At 36.7% G+C, this 27,140-nt stretch overlaps 1 protein-coding gene and 1 pseudogene across 12 annotated transcripts in view; one reads left to right on the top strand and one right to left on the bottom strand.

Moving 5' to 3' along the window:
• Nucleotides 1-27,140, top strand: part of ADAMTS6 (ADAM metallopeptidase with thrombospondin type 1 motif 6) — a 333,183-nt gene that overhangs the window by 64,149 nt on the left and 241,894 nt on the right. The window lies entirely within an intron of this gene.
• RPS2P23 (ribosomal protein S2 pseudogene 23) lies at nucleotides 1,513-2,439 on the bottom strand (annotated as a pseudogene).

Raw genomic sequence — 27,140 nt, 5'->3', positions numbered from 1 at the left:
TCTTCCAATTTATGATTATGGAATATTTCCCATTTGTGTCATCTATGATTTATTTAATGGTGTTTTATAATTGTCCTTGTAAAGATCTTTTACCTCCTTGTTTAGATGTATTCCTAGGTATTTTATTTTTGTGCATGTGGCTATTGTAAGTGGGATTGCATTGTTGATTTGGCTCTCAGCTTGAATGTTATTGGTGTCTAAAAATGCTAGGGGTTTTTGTATATTGATTTTGTATCCTGAAACTTTACTGAAATTGTTTATCGGTTCCAGAAACCTTTTGGCAGTCTTCAGAGTTTTCTAAATATAGGATTATATCATCCTATGCGCAGAGATAGTTTGCCTTCTTCTTTTGCTATTTGGATGCCTTTTATTTATTTTTCTTGCCTGATTGCTCTGGCTAGCTCTTCCAATACTATGTTGAATAGGAATGGTGAGAGTGGTCATCCTTGTCTTATTCCAGTTCTCAAGGGGAATGCTTCCAGTGTTTGCCCATTCAGTGTGATGTTGGCTGTGGGTTTGTCATAGATGGCTCTTATTATTTTGAGATTTATTCCTTCAATGCCTAGTTTTCTGAAGGTTTTTGTCATAAAGGGATGTTGGATTTTATAGAAAGCTTTTTCTGTGTCTATTGAGATAATCATATGGTTTTTGTTTTTAATTCTGTTTATGTGGTGAATCACATTTATTGATTTGTGTATGTTGAACCAACCTTGCATCCCAAGAACAAAACCTCCTTTATCATGGTGAATTAACTTTTTGTTATGCTGTTGAATTCAGTTTTCTAGTATTTTGTTGAGGATTTTTGCTCCTGTGTTAATCAGGGATATTGGTCTGTAGTTTTCTTTTTTTGTTGTTTCTTTACCAGGTTTTGGTATTACAGTGATGCTGGCTTTGTAGAGTTAGGGAGGAGTCCCTCCTCCTTGAGTTTTTGGAATAATTTCAGTAGAATTGGGATATACCACATTTTATATTATTTTATTTTATTTTATTTTGTTGTTGTTGTTGGTTTTTTTTTTTTTTTTTAAATGGAGTCTTGCTCTGTTGCCCAGGCTGGAGTGCAGTGGTGTGAGCTCTGTGATCTCCGCTCACTGCAACCTCCGCCTCCTGGGCTCAAGTGATTCTCTTGCCACAGCCTCCCACCAGGCTGAGATTACAGGTGCCTGCTGCCATGCCTGGCTAATTTTTGGGGATATACCACATGTTAGTTATTCCTTCATCCCTTGACAGATTTTTGGATTGATGCCTCCTTTGGGCCATTATGAATAATGCTGCTATTAATAGTCATACAAGTTTTTGTGTGGACATATATTTTCAATTCTCATGGATATATACTTAGGAATGGAAGTGCTGGGTCATATGGTGATTCTATGTTTAACCTTTTGAAGAACTTAAAAATTATTTTCCAAAGTGACTGCATTATTTTACATTTCCATCTTCAGTGTCTAAGTGTTCCAGTTTCTTCACATCATCACCAACACTTGTTATTGTGTCTTTAAAAAAAACAAAAACAAAAACAGGCTTGATTTACTTTATTTTTCTTGTATAAACCCTACATTGTAGTCACAGCTGGAGCCTGGGTCCTCTGCATGGAGACTCTGGAGTGGGTCTTGATGGGGTGGTCAGTGAATTCCTGATAGGGAGACTTGGTGAATACAGTCTCCTTCCGGAGGTCAGGGGTCAGGTGGCTGTAGGTCTTAGAGATGTCATTGAAGTTGGCCTTGGCGAAATTGCCCAGGGTGGCCATGCAGCCCCTGGCTGAAGTGTAGCAGTCATCGATACCAGCCGTCATCAGCAGCTTCTTGGGCATGGGGGCTGAGATGATCCCAGTGCCCCTGGGCACAGGGATGAGGTCACCAGCACAGAGCTGCAGTGGCCTGTCACCTTGCAAGGGATGGTGTGGGGCTTGCTGATCTTGTTCCCCCAGTAGCCTGTGCACACAGGGACAATGGAGAGCTTGGCTGGGATGATGGCCTCGTGTATGGCAGTGGCCACCTCCTTGGAGCACTTAGCACCCAGACCTACCTGGCCATTATAGTCCCCAGTGGCAACAAATGCCTTGAACCTGGTGTTCTGGCCAGCGTAGGTCTGCTTCTGCACTGACATAATCTTCAAAACCTCATCCTTGAGAGAGCCCCCGAAAAAAATCAGTGATCTCAGACTCCTTGATGGGCAGGAAGAAGAGATAGATCTCCTCCAGGGACTTCATCTTCATGTCCTTGACTAGCTGGCCCAGATTGGTGACAGGCATCCACTCCTAGTCCAAGGCCTTGCCTCTGTGAGCTCCGTGGCTTCAGCCCTGGCCCTGACCATGGCCATGACCTTGGCCTCAGATGCCACTGCCGAAGCCTCCACAGAAGCCACTGCGGTTTCCCATCCCTGGGCCCCCGGGATGCACCCTTGCACTGGCATCATCCGCCATTTGGTATTTTCTCAGAGAAGGTTATTGTGTCTTTTTTGTTATAGCCATCCTAGTGGGTTCGAAGTGGTATTTTACTGTGGTTTTTATTTGATTTTCACAAATGACTAATGATGTTGACGATCTTTTTATGTGCTTATTGGCCATGTGTATATCTTCTTTGGAGAAATGTCTATTAAGATCCTTTACTCATTTCTTGATTGAGTTATTTGCCTTTTTATTGTTCACTTGTAATAGTTTTTTAAATAAATTTGAATATTAGACTTATCATATATGATTCGCAAATATTTTTCCTCATACTCTATATTGACTTTTAACTTTGTTGATAGTGTGTTTTGAAGCGTGAAAGGTTTTATTTTCAATGAATTCCAATTTACCTGTTTTTTTCTTTCATTACTTGTGCCTTTAGTGTCATATCTCAGAAATCATTGCTTAATACAAGGTCATAAAGATTTACTCCTATGTTTTTTTCTAAGATTTTTGTAGTTTTAGCCCTTACATTTAGGTCTTTGGGTTCGTTTTGAATTAACGTTTGCATATGATGTGAGATGGAGACAAAGAGTGCTTGTTGTCCTTCTGTATACAAAACACATTTTCACAATTTGTCCTGTTACTTAAAAGTGTTCCTGTACTTGAGCTAGTCTTCCCCTATTCTAAATCACTACCAAATTATATTTTTTAATGTTCTAGCTCAAATGCCCAGAAATTCCTTTAAAACTTCTTTCCTTTATTGCCAAGAAACCAAGAATGATCTTACCTCTCATATGGCTTTATATATATCCTTCTTACAGCACTTTTGTCACTTTCCATCTAATATTATAGCTGTTTATGTAAATATATTAGCATTTTTTCCCTAAGATAAAGTTCATAGTTTTATTTGTTTTCATCATTTAGTGTAGGGGGGCAAAATCTTTCCCTTGACCTTCTTAGAGTTCCCAGCTGAGTCTGAAAATTAAATGGAATAAGACATGTTAACAAGTGAAAAGCACACAAATTTATTTAAGTTTTATGTCACACAGAAGTCTTCATAAGGAAATGAAGACACAAAGAAATAACAAAAGTAAATAAAAAATAAACAATGAAAATAATAAAAAATAATTTTAAAAGCCTGAGTGTTTTTATACTAGGTTTGATAAAGAATGGAAAGTTGTAAGAAAATGTGATAGACAAAGGGGTATGAGCTAAGAGTAGTAGTAAACTGGGGAAAACTTAGCAAGGCCTATTCATTCAGATTCCTCATGGATTCCCGCCTCTTTCTTCAGAGATAAGGATGCTTTTTTCCTCTGGATATAGGGAGGGCACTTTGTACATGAGGGTTTTATGACTTCCTTCCTAGGAAAAGGGAGTGGTCAGAGAGTACTTCATGCCTGCTGTTTCTCAGATTCGTTCAGTTTAACATATTCAATATGCCAAAGGATCATATTTTGGAGCAATGTGTCCTGAACCCCATCATTAGCAGTTAGTATATGTCTGTTGATTTAATTATGTTAATAGATTTCTGGTGTAGTGGGGGCAAAAGGAAATTATAATTGTTTAGAGACAGAGTAAGTTTAGTCTAAAACACCAGTAGAGTAGCAATCTTCAGTGACCACTGTGAATATATAACATGTATATTTTATTTTATTAATGTACATTATATTTTATTAATTTAATTGCTCTAAATGTGTAAGAACAGGATATATATTTTTATTGTAAAATGACGTTAACATTATGGCATCAGGTTACAAGTGCAATTTTTGATGGGATTTGAAATGGCAGACATTAGATAAAAGCATTCTTCAGGGATAGAGAGGAATGCTGCATTATATAATTTAATTGGCCAGTTGGGAGTGATTAATAATATTGCTTATATTTTAAGTCATATTTTAAATATTGAATCTTTTTACAATTAGATGTTTACAATATTATTAAAAGAATTTTCCTTAAAAAATCCCTGCCATGTTTGTTATGAGAAATGTTTTTGGAAAATCTGAGTATTACACTGTCCTACTGAAGAAAATTGCCTGGGAAAACTGTGATTGACAGCTTATGTTAAGGTTTGCAATCTTGCGTAGGTATCATGCCAAGTTTTCATTTATTCACTTTCTTGAAAGTGGAAAGAAATTTAGAAAAGCATAGGCTTACCACAGAGTTCCTTTACAGAAACTATTTTCATGTGAGAAGGTGGCCCGCTGAGCCTGTTTTAGTCTGTGATTCTTTAAGATATGGAGGCCTGTTGCTAGGTCTTATAAGGCCATTCTGAGAGGCTAGAAATTGATCAAAAAGACAAGTTCTTCCTTTGGTGTTACAGAGAAGTAAATGCAGTTTCATGAACTTTGATTTTTGATACGTAGGTTGGAACTGTTTGTTAGCAAACTATTAAGCAAGCTATAGAGGATTGCTAAATCTTGATATTCATAAGATTAAATAGTATAGCAAAGAGTAATGAAGTGCATATAATTAGAGAATTGTAAAGTAATATTAACATTTTCAACTACAAATAATTGGATTAAAAAACTCTGGTATCAGTATTATTTGAATTAGTTATGGTTTTCAATTACTTCAACTGCTAATTTTCAATTATATTATTACTTTTAATTTAGTTTCATCATTTATTTTGTTTTTAGTTGTTATTTGATATCAAATATGTATTTTGCATAAGCATTTTGTTTTTGACCAAAGTTTTCTAATAACCAAATTGTCATATATTTCCTATATGGATCATTTTATTGCTAATGCAGATGTATGCAAAATGCCATCTTCTCCAAATTTTTTTGTGTAGTGACATGTTATCAGTGATGTGTGCCTATGAATGTGAAAATAGCTTATAATACACTGTCAAGGTAAGAGTAATACGATTACTGCTTTAGAAATACTTAAAGGGCATTGTTTTGGTATCAAATCATGTGTATTTGGTCAAGTATTGTGTGTGTGCGTGTGTGTGTTTGTGTGCCTGTGTGCATGTGTGTATGTGTGTATGCAAGTGTGTATGTGTTTTCACTAAAAAAGTACTTCTATATAATGCTGTAATCCTAATCCTCTCTTCCGAGGACTAACTATGAACAGGTGAGACTTTGCATTAGTCTTAGTCATTCTACTATTACAATTTAATTTCTTGGTTTTTAAGGGCTTTTAGTATTTAACATTCCCATTTTCATTTTAAAAATGTATATTCTTCCAGGATATATCACATATTAAGGATTTATAGCATTAAAGATCTTTTCTTGCATTTTGCCACTTTACTGTGTGAAATTGAGGCAAGTTACTTTACTTTGTACTTAAATTTCTTTACCCATAAAATGGACAGTATAATAATAACCTACCTTAGGTAATGGTTGTGAAGATGAAATAATTCATGTAAATGTCTTAGAATGGTGCCTGGTTTAAATTATGACTCAATAAATGATAGCTATTATTAACATTAGTACTGTAGTGGGACTAATTGACTTGGTAGAAGACTTCATGGGATACATAGTATGGCATTTCTAATTCCCTACTTCTTTATACTTAAGGATATAGTAAAGGGAACTAAAGAGCACTCTAGAAGTTTAGTTTGTGTCAGCCTTTTACAAAGGCATAATTTTTCAAAGACCTATATTTAAATGTTACTACATAATATTATTTAATATAAATGTTTTCAGTGACTAAATTGTTTTTCTCTCTTCCTCCTTCCCTTTATACACTTATCTTTGAATAAAGTTGAATCAGCAAGAAGATGCAGCATGTTTTAACTTATGTTTTTCCCTACCTGTGACAACCTATCAAACTCCCACGTCACTCATACTCCGGTTTGAGACATACAGGGACCAGATAGACTATGGGGAAGGATTGACACAAAAATGGAAGACAGCTGGAGTAGGAGGAAAATGCTGATGAAGGAGATAATAGGATTCCATTGGATTACAGTCATTTATAGAAATTTGGCTCTTAAACTTTTCCACTTCTAAATAAAGACTTTTTATTCAAAATTTATTAAGAGAAAGAAAGCTGTATAGGCACTATGGAAAACAGTATGAAGGTTCCTCAAATAATAAAAAATAGAACTGCCATAGGCTCCAGCAATCCCACTGCTAGGTACATATCCAAAGGATATGAAATCAGTATGTTGAAGAGATACGTGCACTCCCATGTTCACTGCAGCACAGCAAATCAAACTCACTGTTGACCGATGGATAAATAGATTTTAAAAATATGATATATACACATAATAGAACACTATTTACCCTTAAAAAAGAAGCAGGCCAGGCTCAGTGGCTCACACCTGTAATTTCAGCACTTTGGGAGGCTGAGGTGGGAGGATCACTTGAGCCCATGAGTTCAAGACCAGCCTGGGAAACATGGCAAGACCCGTTTCTACAAAAAATGCAAAAAATTAGCTGAGCGTGGTGGTGTGCGGCTGTGCTCCCAGCTACTCAGGAGCCTGAAGCAGGAGGATTGCTTGACCTCAGGAGCTCAAGACTGCAGTGAGCTATGATTGCACCACTGCCCTCTAGCCTGGGTGACAGAATGAGTTCCTAAAAGAAAAGGAAGTCCTGTCATTTGTGATGGCATGAATGAACCCGGAGGACATTGTATTAAGGAAGCCAGGCATAGAAAGACAAATACTGCATGATCTCACTTATATGTAGAGTATATATAAAAAAGTCAAAGTCATAGAAATAGAGAGTAAAATGGTGGTTGCCAGAAGTTGTGGGGGTTAGGAGATGTTGATCATAGGACACAAAATTTCAATTTGGAGGAATAAATTCATGAGATCTCTTGTACATCATGGTGGCTATAGTTAATGATAATATTAATATATTGCATACTTGAAAATTGCAATGGTATAAAAGAGAGTAGATTTTAAGTGTTCTTTCCATAGGAAAATAAATATTTGAGGTAATGCATATATTATTTTGATTTAGCTGTTCCATAATGTATACATATATCAAAACATCAAGCTGTATGTTATAAATATATATAATTTTTACTTGCCAATTAAAGAAAGAATGCTAACTCTTGTTGGCTGTAACTTTTACCCATAATTTATTCAACTGATTGAGTTATGAGTAGCTCAATGTAAACTGTTAAGTATAACATGATTGAATTTCTATCTAACAATAATTTATACATGAAGAAATGTTATTTTTCATAATACATTGACTTTTGTTGCGTAGTTGGTTATCTGCAAGTTCTGGTACTTGAGCATTTGTGACATGAGTTAAGTTTGTCATTGGAAGTCCCAACTTTTCTTTTTGATGTGTTTTCCCACATTTTCTCTGCTCTCAGTATTGCCCGTCTTCTTTTCTCTCAAGCACAAGTGTTTTTAGGAAAGAATATGATGAATTCAATCAAATGAAGTTGGAAATAATTTTGTGAAATTACAAATACTGTGTTTTTTCTTTCTAGAGTATGTGATTTTAATAGCGGTCAAACCTTTTATGTAACTTATATTGCATATGATAAAAAACTAAGTCTGCATCTATTGAGATAATCATGTAGTTTTTGTCTTTGGTTCTGTTTATATGATGGATTACGTTTATTGATTTGCATATGTTGAACAAGCCTTGCATCCCAGGGATGAAGCCCACTTGATCATGGTGAATAAACTTTTTGATGTGCTGCTGGATTCAGTTTGCCAGTATTTTATTGAGGATTTTTGCATCGATGTTCATCAGGGATATTGGTCTAAAATTCTCTTTTTTTGTTGTGTCTCTGCTAGGCTTTGGTATCAGGATGATGCTGGCCTCATAAAATGAGTTAGGAGGATTTCTTCTTTTTCTACTGATTGGAATATTGTCAGAAGGAATGGTACCAACTCCTCCTTGTACCTCTGGTAGAATTCGGCTGTGAATCTGTCTGGTCCTGGACTTTTTTTGGTTGGTAGGCTATTAATTATTGCCTCAATTTCAGAGCCTGTTATTGGTCTATTCAGGGATTCAACTTCTTCCTGATTTAGTCTTGGGAGGGTGTATGTGTCCAGGAATTTATCGATTTCTTCTAGATTTTCTAGTTTATTTGCATAGAGGTGTTTATAGTATTCTCTGATGGTAGTGTATTTCTGTGGGATCAGTGGTGATATCCCCTTTATCATTTTTTATTGCGTCTATTTGATTCTTCTCTGTTTTCTGCTTTATTAGTCTTGCTAGCGGTCTATCAGTTTTGTTGATCTTTTAAAAAAACCAGCTCCTGAATTCATTGATTTTTTGAAGGGTTTTTTATGTCTCTGTCTCCTTCAGTTCTGCTCTGATCTTAGTTATTTCTTGCCTTCTGCTAGCTTTTGAATGTGTTTGCTCTTGCTTCTCTAGTTCTTTTAATCGTGATGTTAGGGTGTCCATTTTAGATCTTTCCTGCTTTCTCTTGTGGGCATTTAGTGCTATAAATTTCCCTCTACACACTGCTTTAAATGTCTCCCAGAGATTCTGGTATGTTGTGTCTTTGTTCTCATTGGTTTCAAAGAACATCTTTATTTCTGCCTTCATTTCGTTATGTACCCAGTAGTCATTCAGGAGCAGGTTGTTCAGTTTCCATGTAGTTGAGCAGTTTGGAGTGAGTTTCTTAATCCTGAGTTCTAGTTTGATTGCACTGTGGTCTGAGAGACAGTTTGTTATAATTTCTGTTCTTTTTCATTTGCTGAGGAATGCTTTACTTCCAACTATGTGGTCAATTTTGGAATAAGTGCGATATGTTGCTGAGAAGAATGTATCTTCTGTTGATTTGGGGTGGAGAGTTCTGTAGATGTCTATTAGGTCTGCTTGGTGCAGAGCTGAGTTCAAGTCCTGGATATCTCTGTTAACTTTCTGTCTTGTTGATCTGTCTAATGTTGACAGTGGGGTGTTAAAGTCTCCCATTATTATTGTATGGGAGTCTAAGTCTCTTTGTATGGCTCTAAGGACTTGCTTTATGAATCTGGGTGTTCCTGTATTGGGTGCATATATATTTAAGATAGTTAGCTCTTCTTGTTGAATTGATCCCTTTACCATTATGTGATGGCCTTCTTTGTCTCTTTTGATCTTTGTTGGTTTAAAGTCTGTTTTATCAGAGACTAGGATTGCAACCCCTGCTTTTTTTTGTTTTCCATTTGCTTGGTAGATCTTCCTCCATCCCTTTATTTTGAGCCTATGTGTGTCTCTGCACGTAACATGGGTTTCCTGAATACAGCACACTGATGGGTTTTGACTCTTTATCCAATTTGCCAGTCTGTGTCTTTTAATTGGAGCATTTAGCCCATTTACATTTAAGGTTAATATTGTTATGTGTGAATTTGATCCTGTCATTATGATGTTAGCTGGTTATTTTGCCCATTAGTTTATGTAGTTTCTTCCTAGCATCGATGGTCTTTACAATTTTGGCATGATTTTTCAGTGGCTGGTACCAGTTGTTCCTTTCCATGTTTAGTGCTTCTTTCAGAAGCCCTTGTAAGGCAGGCCTGGTGGTGACAAAATCTCTCAGCATTTGCTTGTCTGTAAAGGATTTTATTTCTCCTTCACTTATGAAGCTTAGTTTGGCTGGATATGAAATTCTGGTTTGAAAATTCTTTTCTTTAATAATGTTGATTCCAAGTCTTTGCTATTGTGAATAGTGCCGCAATAAACATACGTGTGCATGTGTCTTTATAGCAGCATGATTTATAATCCTTTGGGTATATACCCAGTAATGATGATAGACTGGATTGAGAAAATGTGGCATATATACACCATGGAATACTGTGCAGCCATAAAAAATGATGAGTTCATGTCCTTTGTAGGGACATGGATGAAGCTGGAAACCATCATTCTCAGCAAACTATTGCAAGGACAAAAAACCAAACACCGCATGTTCTCACTCATAGGTGGGAATTGGACAATGAGAACACATGGACACAGGAAGGGGAACATCACACACCGGGGACTGTTGTGGGGTGGGGGGAGGGAGGAGGGATAGCATTAGGAGATATACCTAATGCTAAATGACGAGTTAATGGGTGCAGCACACCAACATGGCACATGTATACATATGTAACGAACCTGCACGTTGTGCACATGTACCCTAAAACTTAAAGTATAATAAAAAAAAAAAGAACATTGAATATTGGCCCCCCACTCTCTTCTGGCTTTTAGAGTTTCTGCCGAGAGATCTGCTGTTAGTCTGATGGGCTTCCCTTTGTGGGTAACCCGACCTTTCTCTCTGGCTGCCCTTAACATTTTTTCCTTCATTTCAACTTTGGTGAATCTGACAATTTTGTGTCTTGGAGTTGCTCTTCTTAAGGAGTATCTTTGTGGCATTCTCTGTATTTCCTGAATTTGAATGTTGGCTTGCCTTGCTAGGTTGGGCTGGTTCTCCTGGATAATATCCTGAAGAGTATTTTCCAACTTGGTTCCATTCTCCCTGTCACTTTCAGGTACACCAAGCAGACGTAGATTTGGTCTTTTCACATAGTCCCATATTTCTTGGAGGCTTTGTCTGTTTCTTTTTACTCTTTTTTCTCTAAACTTCTCTTCTCGCTTCATTTCATTCATGTGATCTTCAATAGATGCAGAAAAGATCTTCGACAAAATTCAACAGCCCTTCATGCTAAAAACTCTCAATAAACTAGGTATTGATGGGACGTATCTCAAAATAATAAGAGCTATTTATGACAAACCCACAGCCAATATTATACTGAATTCTAACCAGAGGTACAAGGAGGAGCTGGTACCATTCCTTCTGACACTATTCCAATCAACAGGAAAAGAAGCAATCCTCCCAACTCATTTTATGAGGCCAGTATCATCGTGATACCAAAGCCTGGCAAATACACAACAAAAAAAGAGAATTTTAGACCAATATCCCTGATGAACATCAATGCAAAAATCCTCAATAAAATACTGGCAAACGGAATCCAGCAGCACATCAAAAAGCTTATCCACCATGATCAAGTGGGCTTCATCCCTGGGATGCAAGGCTTGTTTAACATACGCAAATCAATAAACGTAATCCATCATATAAACAGAACCAAAGACAAAAACCACATGATTATCTCAATAGATGCCGAAAAGGCCTTTGACAAAATTCAACACCCCTTCATGCTAAAAACTCTGAATAAATTACGTATTGATGGAACATATCTCAAAATAATAAGAGCTATTTATGACAAACCCACAGCCAATATCATACTGAATGGGCAAAAACTGGAAGCATTCCCTTGGAAAACTGGTGCAAGACAAGGATGCCCTCTCTCACCACTCCTATTTAACATAGTGTTGGAAGCTCTGGCCAGGGCAATTAGGCAGGAGAAAGAAATAAAGGGTATTCAATTAGGAAAAGAGGAAGTCAAATTGTCCCTTTTTGCAGATGACATGATTGTATATTTAGAAAACCCCATCGTCTCAGCCCAAAATCTCCTTAAGCTAATAAGCAACTTCAGCAAAGTCTCAGGATACAAAATCAATGTGTAAAAATCACAAGCATTCTTATACACCAATAACAGACTAACACAGAGCCAAATCATGAGTGAACTCCCATTCACAATTGCTTCAGAGAGAAGAAAATACCTAGGAATCCAACTTACAAGGGATGTGAACGACCTCTTCAAGGAGTACTACAAACCACTGCTCAGTGAAATAAAAGAGGACACGAACAAATGGAAGAACATTCCATGCTCATGGATAGGAAGAGCCAATATCGTGAAAATGGCCATAGTGCCTAAGATAATTTATAGATTCAATGCCATCCCCATCAAGCTACCAATGACTTTCTTCAAAGAATTGGAAAAAACTACTTTAAAGTTCATATGGAACCAAAAAAGAGCCCACATTGCCAAGTCAATCCTAAGCCAAAAGAACAAAGCTGGAGGCATCACACTACCTGACTTCAAACTATACTACAAGGCTACAGTAACCAACACAGCATGGTACTGGTACCAAAACAGAGATATAGATCAATGGAACAGAACAGAGCCCTTAGAAATAATACCACACATCTACAACCATCTGATCTTTGACAAACCTGACAGAAACAAGCAATGGGGAAAGGATTCCCTATTTAGTAAATGGTGCTGGGAAAACTGGCTAGCCATATGTAGAAAGCTGAAACTGGATCCCTTCCTTACACCTTATATAAAAATTAATTCAAAATGGATTAAAGACTGAAATGTTAGATCTAAATCCATAAAAACCCTAGAAGAAAACCTAGGCAGTACCATTCAGGATATAGGCATAGGCAAGGACTTCATGTCTAAAACACCTAAAGCAATGGCAACAAAAGCCAAAATTGACAATTGGGATCTAATTAAACTAAAGAGCTTCTGCACAGCAAAAGAAACTACCATCAGAGTGAACAGGCAGCCTACAGAATGGGAGAAAATTTTTGCAATCTACTCATCTGACAAAGGTCTAATATCCAGAATCTACAATGAACTCAAACAAATTTACAAGAAGAAAACAAACAACCCCATCAAAAAGTGGGCAAAGGATATGAACAGACACTTCTCAAAAGAAGACATTTATGCAGCCAACAGACACGTGAAAAAATGCTCATCATCACTGGCCATCAGAGAAATGCAAATCAAAACCACAATGAGATACCATCTCACACCAGTTAGAATGGCGATCATTAAAAAGTCAGGAAACAACAGGTGCTGGAGAGGATGTGGAGAAATAGGAACACTTTACACTGTTGGTGGGACTGTAAACTAGTTCAACCATTGTGGAAGGCAGTGTGGTGATTCCTCAAGGATCTAGGACTAGAAATACCATTTGACCCAGCCATCCCATTACTGGGTATATACCCAAAGGATTATAAATCATGCTGCTATAAAGACACATGCACATGTATGTTTATTGTGGCATTATTCACAATAGCAAAGACTTGGAACCAACCCAAATGTCCATCAATGATAGACTGGATTAAGAAAATGTGGCACATACACACCATGGAATATTATGCAGCCATAAAAAAGGATGAGTTCATATCCTTTGTAGGGACATGGATGAAGCTGGAAACCATCATTCTCAGCAAACTATTGCAAGGACAGAAGACCAAACACCATATGTTCTCACTCATAGGTGGCAATTGAACCATGAGAACACTTGGACACAGGATGGGGAATATAACACACCAGGGCCTGTCATGGGGTAGGGGCAGGGAGCAGGGATAACATTAGCGGAAATACCTAATGTAAATGACGAGTTGATTGGTGCAGCACACCAACATGGCATTTGTATACATATGTAACAAACCTGCATGTTGTGCACATGTACCCTAGAACTTAAAGTATAAAAAAAAAACTAAGTGAATTATATTTTCTTAATTCATTAATGCATTAATGATATACAATACTAAAATTTTGTCATGGTTTATTGGAGTTTTTTCAGGATTTGGTATATAATCTCTGGATTTCATTGCCAACTTGGGCAAAGATTCTTAAGCATTGATTTTATATTGGGAGAAAGTATAATATTCATGAAGTTATTCATTTGTATCAGGCACTCTTTTTTTTCTGTGCATTCTATGCACTGAAATATAGGAGTGAACATACAAGATTCTTGTTCTCTTCTGAAGAGGTTACATTTTACTAGGGGACACAGGTGAAAAGAAAGATAAAGAAATATGGAATAAGGTACGTAGTGATAAATCCATGAAGATAATGGAGTCTAGAGAGTTATATTATTTGTATATGTGTGTGGGAATTGCTATTTTACATGTAACTTTTTTACGTGGTAACTTGATGTCTTGCTATTTTACATGGTAACTTGTTTTCTTGCTATTTTACATGGTAACTAGTTGTCTCATTCTAAATATGTACTTGGAATAGAATGCCAACAGATTTTTCAAAATTTATTGTATAAGAGTATGAGAGAAAGAGGAATAAATGAAAATGTGAAAGTTTTAGACTCGCCAATTATTTGAATGGAATTGCTTCTTACAAGATAGGGGAAAACATGCTGGAGGAACAGGTTTATAGGGGAAGATCGAGAATTCTTGATCATGATCTTGCTAATTTTAAGATGCTTGTTGATGAGCCTGGATTTCAGAAGGGAAGATAGAAACGGAGTTAAAATTTTGGGAGACATAATTATATAGATAGTATTCAAAGCCATTAGACTAGATGAGATCATACAGGAAGTAAATGTATGTTCAGAAAAGAAGTGTTTCAAAGGTGGAGTCTGGATTCCTTCAGTGTTTAAAGATTAGAGAGAAGAGGGAAAATCAAGAAAGCAGACAGAAAAAGCAGCTAGTTAGATAGAAAGAGAATCACGAGAAAGTGTTGCTCTGAAAGACAAGTGAAAAAATTGTTTCAAGGAGGAAAGCATCATCATCTATATCAGATGACTGTGATAGTTTGAGTAAAATGAGGCCTTAAAATTCATTATTGTATTAGGAGGGATGGAGCTATTGATGACTTTGAAAAGTTATTTTAACAGAGGGGTAAGCAGAAAGATTGACTGGAATGGGTTTATGAAAAAAAAAGGAAGAAAAGGAAGTAAAGACATTGCATATACACAACTTATTCAATGGGTTTTGTCATAAAGCAGACCATAGAAGTCAGGCTGAAGAGTCCATGGAGTTCATGAAGTTTTTTCATTTCATCTTGTTTTGCTTTTTAGGATCATATATTGTATGATAGTGAGAATTATTAAAGCTAGACCAAAATTGATGATGTAGGAGAGACGGGGGAAAACAGTAGTAACAGTGTCCTTAAGAAGACTTAAAGGGAAGGGATCCAGCGCCAAATATGGGGGGGGGTGTCCTTGGATAGGAGCCTGGACATTTATTCATTGTGATAGCAAGGAGGGCGGAGTATGTGCATCAAAATATAATTGGTCAGATTTGGTGTGTGAGCATCTGGAAGTTTCCTTCTGGTTGTTTCTATTTTCTCAGTGAAATAGAAAGCAGTCATTAGCTGAGAGTAAATAATAAGAAGGTGATGTTATAGATTTGAGGAGAGAGAAGAAGTATGAAGTAATCATTGATGAAAGTAGGAGAAAGTCCCTAGTGAAATGTAGTAGCATTGTTGGGTATTGCTAAGGTCTTACTTGAGGTCACTTGTTGATTTTAAAGTGAAATCAGTCAGCATGGTTATATTTTGTCTTCAGTCACATTCATCTGGTTGGGTAGAAGTGCAGGATAGGTAGAGATTTGGATTTCCCTAGGATATATGTTTTCGCAAGTGAGTTCATTGGAGAGAGAGAAGAGAAAGAGACATAGGAGTAGATGCAAGAAGGTGGTAAGAATGACTAACCATGGAGTGTAAGCCAGGTAAAGAGAGAAAAAAATTATGTGAAGACGGTGAGGAACAGTGAAAAGTGGTAAACTTGGAAGATGAGCGATGGTAGAGAGTGCAATGCTTGAAATTAGTAATGACAAGGTCTTGGATATGATTACGGAAGTAGATAGCTAAGGCAGAAGGAGGAAACAACCACTGGAAATAACAATGTTAAATAAATGAGAGGCCAGTGTATTAGGATGATTTAAGTTGGTATTGAAATCATTGAGAGTTACGACATGTGGTAGTGGAGACAGTAAGGGAGGGAAAGAAAGAAGGAGGGATTGAAGAAGGAAAAAGTGAGAAAATCAAAGAATTTCAGTTTCTACAGGTAAGGAGCTTTGAAGTTGCCACTCTATCCTAACAGTACACAAAAATCTGAACAAACTGAAAAATCAACAACTCTTCTTACATCTATAAGAGAAGTGAGATCACAGGACAAACAGTGTCTCCCAAAATTGGAGTGACAGACAAATACAGAGAATCACAACATATCAGAGCAGAAACCTCCATGGAAACCAGTGCTGGGATAGGAAAACCTGACCTGTAATTGACAAATTTCTGGAGGCTCTGTGTGGACAAGTGTAAGAGTTAAAAACTCCAGGAGGACCTAGTTTTAAATGGACCCTCACACTTGAGAATTGTACCTGTAGGAGCTTGACTAGGTTCTCACAGTAAATATTGGAGAAAAACTCCCTTGTGTTCCCAGCAGCAGAAGGGGAAAGGGATCTATCTGGGAATTTGCCAGAGCACTCTGTTCTTTTTAATAAGGTCTGACCTCAGGAGAAACTAGCTAACCAGAGCCTAATCTGTGGGGTTTGATCAGAGCCTAACTGATCTGGGAGAATGGAAATACTCAACTCTAGTCATCCTGTCCCACCTAAAAGGGGAGAAAAAAGACTAGAAAATATTTGTTCAAGAGTTCAGAGGCATAGGTGCACTGAAAGGCTGAGACCTAATTGTAGGACTATAGAATGTTTCCCCTTTCCCCACACCTTATCACCACATTACTAAAGGCCTATTTACAGCTATTGCTTTTACCCAGTATATCATGTCTGGCTGTCAAGAAAAAATTACAAGGCATACTGAGAGGCAAAAAACACAGTTTGAAGAGACAGAGCAAGCATCAGAAGCAGACATGGCTGAGATGGTGGAATTATCAGATGGAATTTACTACTATGATTAATATGCTAAAAGTGTTAATGGAGAATGTAAACAGCATGCAAGCACAGATGAGAACTGTAAGCAGAAAGATGGAAATTCTAAGAAAGAGCCGAAAAGAAAGTGCTAGAGATCAAAAACGCTGTAACGGAAATGAAGAATGCCTTGATGGGCTTATTAGTAGACTGGACATGACTGAGGAAAGAATTTCTGAGCTAGAGGATATATTAATAAAAGACTCTAAATCTCAAAAACTAAGAGAACAAAGACTGAAAAAGAAAAAGAAGAGAACATCCAAGAGCTGTGGGAAAACTACAAAGATGTAATACATGTGCAATGAGAGTACCAGAAAGCAAAAAGAAAAAGGAATGGAAATATTTGAAACAATAATGACCGAGAATTTATCTAAATTAATGTCAGACACCAAACCATAGAAAACCTATTCCTAGGCATGTCGCTTTTAAATTACAGAAAATCACAGAATAAGAAAAAACCTAGCTGGCTGCAGTGGCTCATGCCTATAATTCCAACACTTTGAGAGGCCAATGCAAGAGGCTTGCTTGAAGCAAGGAGTTAGAGACCAGCCTGGGCAACAAAGCAACACCCTGGTTTCTACAACAACACAAAAAACGAAAAAGCCATATGCAGTAGTGTGTACCTATAGTCCCAGCTATTCAGGAGGCAAAGGTAGGAGGATTGCTTGAGCTCATGAGCTCAGGAATTTGAGGCTGCAGTGAGCTATGATCATGACACTGTACGCCAGCCAGGACCACAGAGTGAGACCCTATCTCTAATAAACTAAAATGTACGTTTAAAAATTAAAAAGAAGAAAAAATTCTGAAAGAGGACAGAGAAAAAAAAATCTTACCTATAGAGGAACAAAGGTAGGAACTACATCTAACTACTCAACAGAAACTATGCAAGCAAGAAGTGAGAGGAGTGAAACATTTAAAGGTTTGAGGAAAAGAACACCAACTTAGAATTCTGTACCCTGTGAAATTATCCTTCAAAAGTGAAGGGGAAATAAAGACTTTCTCAGATGAACAAAAACTGGGAAATTTTATTACCAATAGATCTGCCTTGCAAGAAATGTTAAAAGATAGAAGAAAAATAATATAGATGAGAAACTTGGATCTATGTAAATAATTGAAGAGCATCATTGAAGGAATTAGTGAAGGTAAAATTAAAACTTCAATTTTACTATTATTGATCTATCAGACAGATAACAGTTTGTTAAAAATGATAATAGCAACAATTTGATTATGTGTGCTTATGTATCATATGTATGTATCTGTATCTATATATGCTCATGTATAAATGAAATAAATGACTAATATCACAAGGGAAAGGAGGAAGGAATTAGGATTATTTCATTATTATAAGTTACACTACCTATGAAGCAGTATAGTTTTATTTGAAAATGAACTTGCATTAGTTGTAAATGTATATTGCAAACTCTAGAGTAACCACTTAAAAAGGAAAAAAAAAGAAGCATAATTGATACACGAAAATAAGAGAGAAAGTGGAATCATACACAATGCTCTGTTAAAAACCACAAAAGGCAGAGTGGAAAACAAAAATAGGAACAAAGAACAAGAGCAACAAATTCGGTAGATATTAATCCAACTGTATTAATAAATATTGTGAATATCAATGCTCCAAATGCACCAATTGGAAGACAGAGATTGTTAGAGTGAATAAGAAAAATAAGACCCAATGAAACTATATGTTGTCTACAAGAAGTCCACTTTTTCTTGAGACAGAGTCTCATTCTGTGGCTCAGGCTGGAGTGCAGTGGTGCAATCTCGGCTCACTGCAACCTCTGCCTTCCGAGTTCAACAATTCTCCTGCCTCAGCCTCCCAAGTAGATGGGATTACAGGCGCCCACCACCGCGCCCAGCTAATTTTTGTACTTTTATTGGAGACGGGGTTTCACCATGTTGGCCAGGCTGATCTCGAACTCCTGACCTCGGACGATCCATCCACCTCGGCCTCCCAAGTGCTGGGATTACAGGCATGAGCCACCGCACCCAGCCAAGAAATCCACTTTAAATATAAAGACACATATAGATTAAAAGTAATTGGATGGATGCCAGTCCTAAGCAAAACAAAGCAGAATTAGCTTGCTTCTTTTTCTTTCTTTCTTTCTTTCTCTTTCTTTTTCTTTCTTTCTTTCTTTCTTTCTTTCTTTCTTTCTTTCTTTCTTTCTTTCTTTCTTTCTTTCTTTCTTGCTCTCTCTTCTTTCTCTCTCTCTCTTTCTCTCTTTATCTCTCTTTCTCTCTCTCTCTCTTTCTCTCTTTCTGACAGAGTCTCGCTCTGTCATCCAGACTGGAGTGCAGTGGTGCAATCTCAGCTCACTGCAACCTCAAGCGATTCTCCTGCCTCAGCCTCCTGAGTAGCTGGGATTACAGGCACGTGCTGCCATGCCTAGCTAGTTTTTTTTATTTTTAGTAGAGATAAGGTTTTGCCATGTTGGCCAGGCCGGTCTCGAACTCCTGACCTCAAGTGATCTGCCTGCCTTGGCCTCCCAAAGTGTTGGGATTACAGGCGTGAGCCACCGCACCCGGCCAGCTGTATTAATTTCTGATAGAGCAGAATGCAAAGCAAGGAAAGTTATCAAGGATAAAGAAGGGTATTACGTAATGATAAAGGAGTCAGTTCTGCAAGAGACATAACAATCTTTAATGTATATTTGCCTAACAACAGATCAATAAAATATAGGAGGCAAAAACTGAAAGAACTGTTGGGAGAAATAAATGAATCTACTGTTATAGTTGAAGACTTCAGCACCCCTCTATCAGAAATGGACAAATTCAGCAACTGGAAAATCAGTAAGGACATAGTTGAACTCAACAACACCGTCAATCAGCTGGATATGATTGATATCTGTAGACTACTTTATCCAATAACAGCAGAATATATATTCTTCTCAAGCTCACATGGAACAGCTACCAAGACAGACCACATTCTGGGCCATTAAACACATCTTAACAAATTTAAAAGAATAGATATCATACAATATCTGTTCTCAAACCACATGGAATTAATCTAGAAATCAATCACAGCAAGATAACTGGAAAGCCCCAAACAATATGTGGAGATTAAGCAACATACTTTTTTTTTTTTTTTTTTTTTAAGACAGGGTCTTACTCTGTCACTGAGGCTGGAGTGTAGTGGCAAAATCATAGCTCACTGCATCCTCTGCTTCCTGGGCTCAAGCAATCCTCCCACCTCAACCTCCTAAGTAGCTGGGACTACAAGCATGTGCCACCACACCTGGCTGATTTTTCTTTTTTTTGTAGAGTCGAGGTTTCTCCATGTTGCACAGGCTGGCCTTGAACTCCTGAGCTCAAGCAATCTGGTCTCCTGGGCCTACCAAAATCCTGGGATTACAGGTGTGAGCCACCACACCTGGCCATAAACAACATACTTCTAAATAACACATGGGTCAAAAGAAAAATCTGAAGAGAAATTAAAAATACTTTGAACTAAATGAAATGAAAACATAACTTACCAAAATTTATGAGAGGCAGCAAAAGCAGTGCATAGAGGGAAATTTATAACATTGGTTGCATATATTAGAAAGGGAAATAGACTTAAAAAACCTAAGCTTCCATTTTAGGTAACTAGATAAAGGAGGGCTAATTAAACTCAAAGTAAGCAGAAGAAAATGAATAATAAAAATTAGGGCAGAAATCAATAAATTTGAAAACAGGAAGTCAATAAAGAAAATCAACAAAACCAAAATTTGGTAAGATAAAATTGATAAGCCTTTACCCAGCCTAAGAAAAAAAAGACGCAGATTACTAATACTAGAAATGAAAGAGGGAACATCCACAGATCCTGTGAACATTAAAAATGTTATAATGGAATGCTATGAACAACTCTATGCTCTCACATTTGATAACAGAGAAGAAATGTACTAATTCCTTGAAAGACACAGTCTGCTAAAACTCACACAAGAAGAGATAGACAATCTGAATAGACCTTTTAGCTATTAAAGAAATGGAACCAACAGTTAATAATCTTCCCAAACAGAAAGCACTAGGCCCAGATAGTCACTGGTGAATTCTGCAAAATATTTACAAAAGAAATTATACTGATTCTCTACAATCTCTCAGAAGATAGAAGCAGACAGAATGCTTTTGAACCCATCCTATGATGCCAGCATCTCCCTCATACCTGAACTGACAGAGACATTATAAGAAATGTCTTATGCAGACCAATATCTCTTATGAGCATAGATGCAAACATTCTTAACAAAATATTAGCAAATAGAATCCAGCAATGTATAAAAAGAATGACATATCATGACCATGTCCTAGCCATGAAACAGCGTCCTAGCCATTAAAAGATGTATTTAGTGTTTTCTAAAGGCAGAATCAGTGAAGACTGAATTTTCTGAGTACTTATCCGATGGACGATAAGATGCTTTCTGCTTCTAAATCTCTAGTGACTGGAGAGGTAGCCAGAGGGTTGGAGTGGGAAAGAGGTGATGGTTTGACAGCACAGATGAGATGGGTTAGATTAAGAGTAACCAGGAGAGAAACTGGGTGGCCATAGACAGAAAATATCTGTCTGTTTCAATCAGAGAGTAGTGTTGTTTTCTTTCTTATCGCATAATCAAGACATTTGAAATCCTATAAACTTTATTTTAAAGTTTCTTTCTGAATTTAGATGAAGACTGTCACAGCATTCTAATTCTTGGCAATAATTATTAAAAGGGTTGTATGCATGCATAAAAACAGGAGTAGAAACAAGAAATGATATCCTTTGGACTATTTATTCAATTTCTCCCCAAAAGGAAGGTTGTACAAAATGTATTTAGAGTTCTAGTTTGCTTTTTTTGAGATAATTAACTAGTTTACTTCATTTTTTTATTTCTGTAAATTTCCTATGATGAAATAAATAATCAGGTTAAACTTTATTGGCATATTACCTTAATTTTATGTATTTATTTTTTAAGAACTGAAGTGCCATGTTAGTGATTAAGCAAGTGTATTGTGGCTTATGCTGGGCTAATGTGACAAGTATGTGGCTTGAAGCCAGTTAAATGTTTGTATGTTCCCAACCCTACTTAGTGTTTTCAGATATATAGCTGTCATAGTTACTGTGCCTGTTACACCGTTATGATTGAGTCTATTGTTAATAGTACAAGTTATTGCTGAATGTCAAAATTTAAGTTATATTGTTTCTTTGTATCATTGGCTGGGACGATTTTTTTGGTATATCTTTTCAATGTTGCAAATGGGACCAGGGATTTACAGTAGAACTACAGAAGCTTTAAAATATTAACAGCCCATTAAGTACAGGATATGGTTCATGAGGTTTAATGGGAAGTTGTTAAAAGGAGATGGAACTATTCCAATGGTTGGGGAGGCATGGTTAGTGGCAAAGAACAGGGCATAGAATTTCTAAAAGCTTGTTTTTTTGTATAAATAATATTCAGTGTTTGGGCACACTAAACAACAGCAACAGCAAGAAACCTCCTCTGTCTGACAAGCAGTATCTTGGAGCTCACCAAATGAGAATTCCATTTGGTGCATATGTTAACTTTCCTTTTCAGAAGATATCCAACAGTGTTGTGTTAAAAAAATTTCCTGTGGATTTGAGATGCTTGGCATTCATTAAATCAAACCTTAAAGGACTTTGAAATAGCACCTACTTTGTTTAACATTTAAAAAATTACAAGGCTCCTGAGACTAGTCCTTGGGATAGTCTTTAGTGATTATCCAGAGTATAATAAAAATGCAAGATTTTCAGAAGAGGGTATTTAAAAAGCAAAATAGTGTAACACTTAGGAGCATAATGTTTAATATACACCTGAATCTTGGTTCCTTAGAGAGTGGCACACACAGACTCTGTGTCACATGGTCAGTGATTAGAGTATAATGTATCATGTGTGTTCCATACACATACTTAGATCTTGGCTCCCAAATCAGGGTAGCAGGTCTAGTCTTCTACTTGCTTGAATTAAATACTTTTTCCCCTAGTTCCTTAATCCTGAGCAATTTTTGTAACTTTTCTGAGACTCAGTTTTTTTCTCTATGACGCTCTGCTACTTCATAGGATTATTTATAAGATCATATGAAATCAGGTACGTGAAAGCACTTTGGAAATTATCAAGTGTTAAACTTACTATATATAATATTATTACTAGATTAGAGTAGATAAGACAGAAGCTAAGACTCTGTAAGTTTGGAGGGTCAAATACTGGAAACATAGCTCTACTTAATGCTGCTGCTAACTCTTTTTAGTAGACCTAAGTTAGATTTACCACACATGCATCATGGATTTTTTCCTTTGGATTTTATATTAGATCCATATCATTGAAGAGAATTTGAAGAAAACTGAGAGCCCTGTGGAAACTTGAATGAGAATTAAGTGAACATTCAGCATGACTTCCATACCTTAATTCCCTACTTGAGCAATCCTCCTCAACCCAATCCATGTTATTATTCATTATTCACTATCTGGAATGCTGACATGTCCAGCTTTTTATTGCTTCGTGATAAGTTGCCCCAAAACTTGGTGGCTTAACACAACAGCAATCATTTTTATTATTGCTCGTGGTTTCTCTGGGTCAGGAGTTTGGGAAGTGCTCAGCTGGGCAGTTCTGGCTAGGTCTCTAATGCAGTTGTAGTTAGACTGTTACTGGAGGTGAAACAGCAGGGGACTGAAGCAGCTGGGGGATGGCCGGGCATCTTTCTCTCCTAATGTGGTTTTTCCAAGTGGACTAGTTTGGGCTTTTGTCCAGCATGCTGGCTTCAGGGCAACCAGCCTGCTTGCTTGGAGGCTCCAAAGGCCAGTGTTGCAAGAGAAACAAGGGAACTGGACTGTGATGTAAGACTTAGCCTCTGACACTACAAGCCTGCCAAGAATCAAGGGAAAGAAACATAGATCCTGCCTCTTGAGGAGAATGTCAAAGTCACATTATATGTGGATGGGAGATGCTATTGTGACCATCTTTGGAAAAAAAAATTTGCCACATGAATGATTAACTCTGTCACTTCATATATAGCTTTTGCTCCCTATTTACCTGACCTCTCTAGGGCCACTGTATGGAATGATTTATTCTTCCTTTTATTTTGCAGCTACACAGTTTTCCTGACACAAATGAACAAGAAAGAAATAAAAGCTAACTAAAAGTAACAGAACTCCTCTTTTTATATCCTCTTAAACCTAAAATCAACATCATTTTGGAAAGATTGTTTTACACATACAATGAAAAAGAAAAACTCGCAATTTTTCTTGACATCTTACTTTCTTAACAAAAGATAGGCTCCTAAATATTGTTTTGGAAAGCTCATATTAAATAGAAAAAAAGCATTGCTACTGACTTGCATTAAAACTCCAGAAATTCATGCTCAGAGAATCATTTGTACTCTGACAGGCATTGAGGATGTTTAATTTTATTTCCCAAGGCACTGATTTTTTATAGGCTGAGTCTTTGTGTAAGAAAAAATTCAAAAATTGTAGAGATCTGTTTACATAATGAAATGTCCTAATACACCTCAAGGAATTACAAGTTTTCAGATGATAATTCAGCCATTTGGAGAAATGATGAGAGCTAGGTCATAGTGTTAAAATTATGGATATAAACATTAGCTTTTGCATAACAAGTATGGATACAAACATGCATTAATATACTTAAATTGGCATATGTTCATGGAAGGATTATGTTAAAGAAATATGATTGCAATAAAACAGTTTTAGGGGTACACATTTTTAAAAGGAGTTTGCAATGACATTTTTCCTACACACTTTTTTAAGCAATTGTTCAACTGGCCAACTTTCCATATGTCCAATACATGTAATATTTTAAGCCTAGAGAGTAATAAGACATTCTTTTTAGCTTCCTACCTTTGTGTTCTATGGAGAAAGGATAGTTTTGGTAAATAATGTTTTTGGCTTGAGTATTTGAACTAATTTTCAAAGTTGGCTTGCAATGAATGACTATAAATGAGATCTACTGAGCACATTTTGAAAATCAGTTTTTAACAGGAAAAATAAAAGCATTGCTAACTTCAAATGTTGAGAAAATTTGGTAGAGTTGGCAGGGAGTATTTAGAGTATACTACTCACATCTTGAGATTCCAGATAAGTTAGAAAGACATGTAAAATATAATATTTTAATATTTCATGATTATCATGTCTCAGATAGCTGTAAGATTGCTGGATAATTAAAACATTTAAACTCTTAAACAATCGAAGAGATTTTTTATTTTAAATCACCAGGCAGTTTTATAATGTTGGTTTTTCCAAAGTGTTAGAACCTTCTGAAAGTGACCTTTAAATTCTAATATTTAAAGATAATTTAACTTTGCAAAGAAAAGGAGGCTTCTCAGAGAAGTGGCTGATTTCAGGAGTATAGGTTAGGGTCAGTGCTAAATAAAACAATGGGGTCATATAACAAGAACACAGGGATCCTACTGGAGGCATTCCCACTGGCGAACTTGAGACCAATTGAGCACAAAAATATAAAGTATAGTAATAGTTTGTAAATCACTGAAAAACTAGGAATTGATAGGCCTATAAATAGATGAGGAAGAGAGGTTCCTCTTTATAGTAAAATACTGAGGGCTGACTAGTATTAATATATAGAGAGACCTGGAGTTGAAAAATCACCATGATAAAGATTGTATTAGGCAAGGATCATGTATGGATGCTAAATTTGGGGGAGGATTTTGATGAGGAGCAGGGTATTTGATTAACTTCAAGTGTTAGACTGCTTATTAAATTGCAATAAGGAAAAAAAGTCTACTATTTATGTAGTGGAGAAATCAGATAACATCTTGACCAGGTGATAAAAGTTTATACAATGAATGAAGAACAGATAGATCTGGTATTTCTCCAGATGTGATTTTCTTCTCAAGAATGTATAACCTCAAACTAATCACATCAGACAAATGCAAAATGAGGAATTTTTTATTAAAAGAAAGGGAAGATGGTGTCCTTTAAAAAATGTTAATGTCAGCTTGGGTGCGGTGGTTCATGCCTATAATCTCAGCACTTTGGGAGGCCGAGACGGGTGGATCACTTGAGATCAGGAGTTTGAGACCAGCCTGGCCAATGTGGCAAAATCCCATCGCTGCTAAAAATACAAAAATTAGCTTGGTGTGGTGGTGGGTGCCTGTAATCCTAGCTACTTGGGAGGCTGAGGCATGGGAATTGCTTGAATCCGGGAGGCAGATGTTGCAGTGAGCCAAGATCATGCTACTGCATTCCAGCTGGGTGACACAGTAAGACTCTGTCTCAAAAAAAAAAAAAAGTTAATGTTGTAAAAGACAAAGAGGCTGTTGAAATATTCCATGTTAAAAGAGACTAAAGAGATATGACAGCTAAATATAATGTCTAACCCTAAACTGGGTCCTGTACTAGAAGAGAAAAAATAAATACTATAAAAGACAGACAAAATTGGAATATGGATGGTAGAGTAGGTAAAAGTGTTGCAATGTAAATTTATGCATTAAGGTATGCATTAAGTGGATTTCTTAGGATTTACATACTGAAATATTAAGGGGTAAAGGGCCATGATTTCAAATAGTTGAGAAAAAAAAGTGTGTGTGTGTGTGTGTGTGTGTGTGTGTGTAGAGAGACACAGAGAACATGGCTGCAAATAATAAAGCAAATGTTAGCAGTATCAATAGATAAGTCTGGGTAAAAGGAATATGGGTATTCCTTGTGCTATTTTCATTTTCGCAACTTTATTTTAATTTAAATTATTTTCAATAAGTTTTTTTAAGGAACCTGAAAACACCTACCTCATTTTGAAATTAAACAAACAAACAAGGCCAGGCTTCGTGGTTCATACCTGTAATCCTGGCACTTGGGAGGCCAAGTTCAGCAGATCGCTTGGGCCCAGGAGTTTGATACGAGACTGGCCTACATGGCGAGACCCTGACTCTACAAAAAATGCAAAACTTAGCCAGCTGTGGTGGTGTGTGCCTATAGTCTCAACTAGTTGGGGGGCTGAGGTGGGTGAACAGAGATCGTGCTACTGCACTCCAGCCTGGGTGAGGGTGACAAAGTGAGAACCTTTCAAAAAAAAAAAAAACCCTCAAAAAACAAACAAAACCAACTTCCCAAGGCACAGTTTCATAATTTAATAAACTAGTAGAAGATCCATTACTTGGAGACATCTGAAAGTATATCACATAAAGACATGAAGGAGATTCTTTATGAGCACCAAAGTGAACAATATGATGTAATTAGCTCTGGTGTCTATAATTCTTTCTCTCTGTGACGTTTCAACTGATATAACCAAAGATGTGAGAAAAGAAAGGTTGTAGTAAAGATGAAACAAAATAGCAGTGAGTTTATTGATAATATCCTAATTTATTATTTCTGTTATTTTGGACTATTCACATGTACAGTATG

This window comes from Homo sapiens, chromosome 5, assembly GCF_000001405.40.
Source record: "Homo sapiens chromosome 5, GRCh38.p14 Primary Assembly".
NCBI classification, from domain to species: domain Eukaryota; kingdom Metazoa; phylum Chordata; class Mammalia; order Primates; family Hominidae; genus Homo; species Homo sapiens.
The sequence above is the reverse complement of the archived record's forward strand: the minus strand, read 5'-3'. Positions and strand labels throughout refer to the sequence as shown.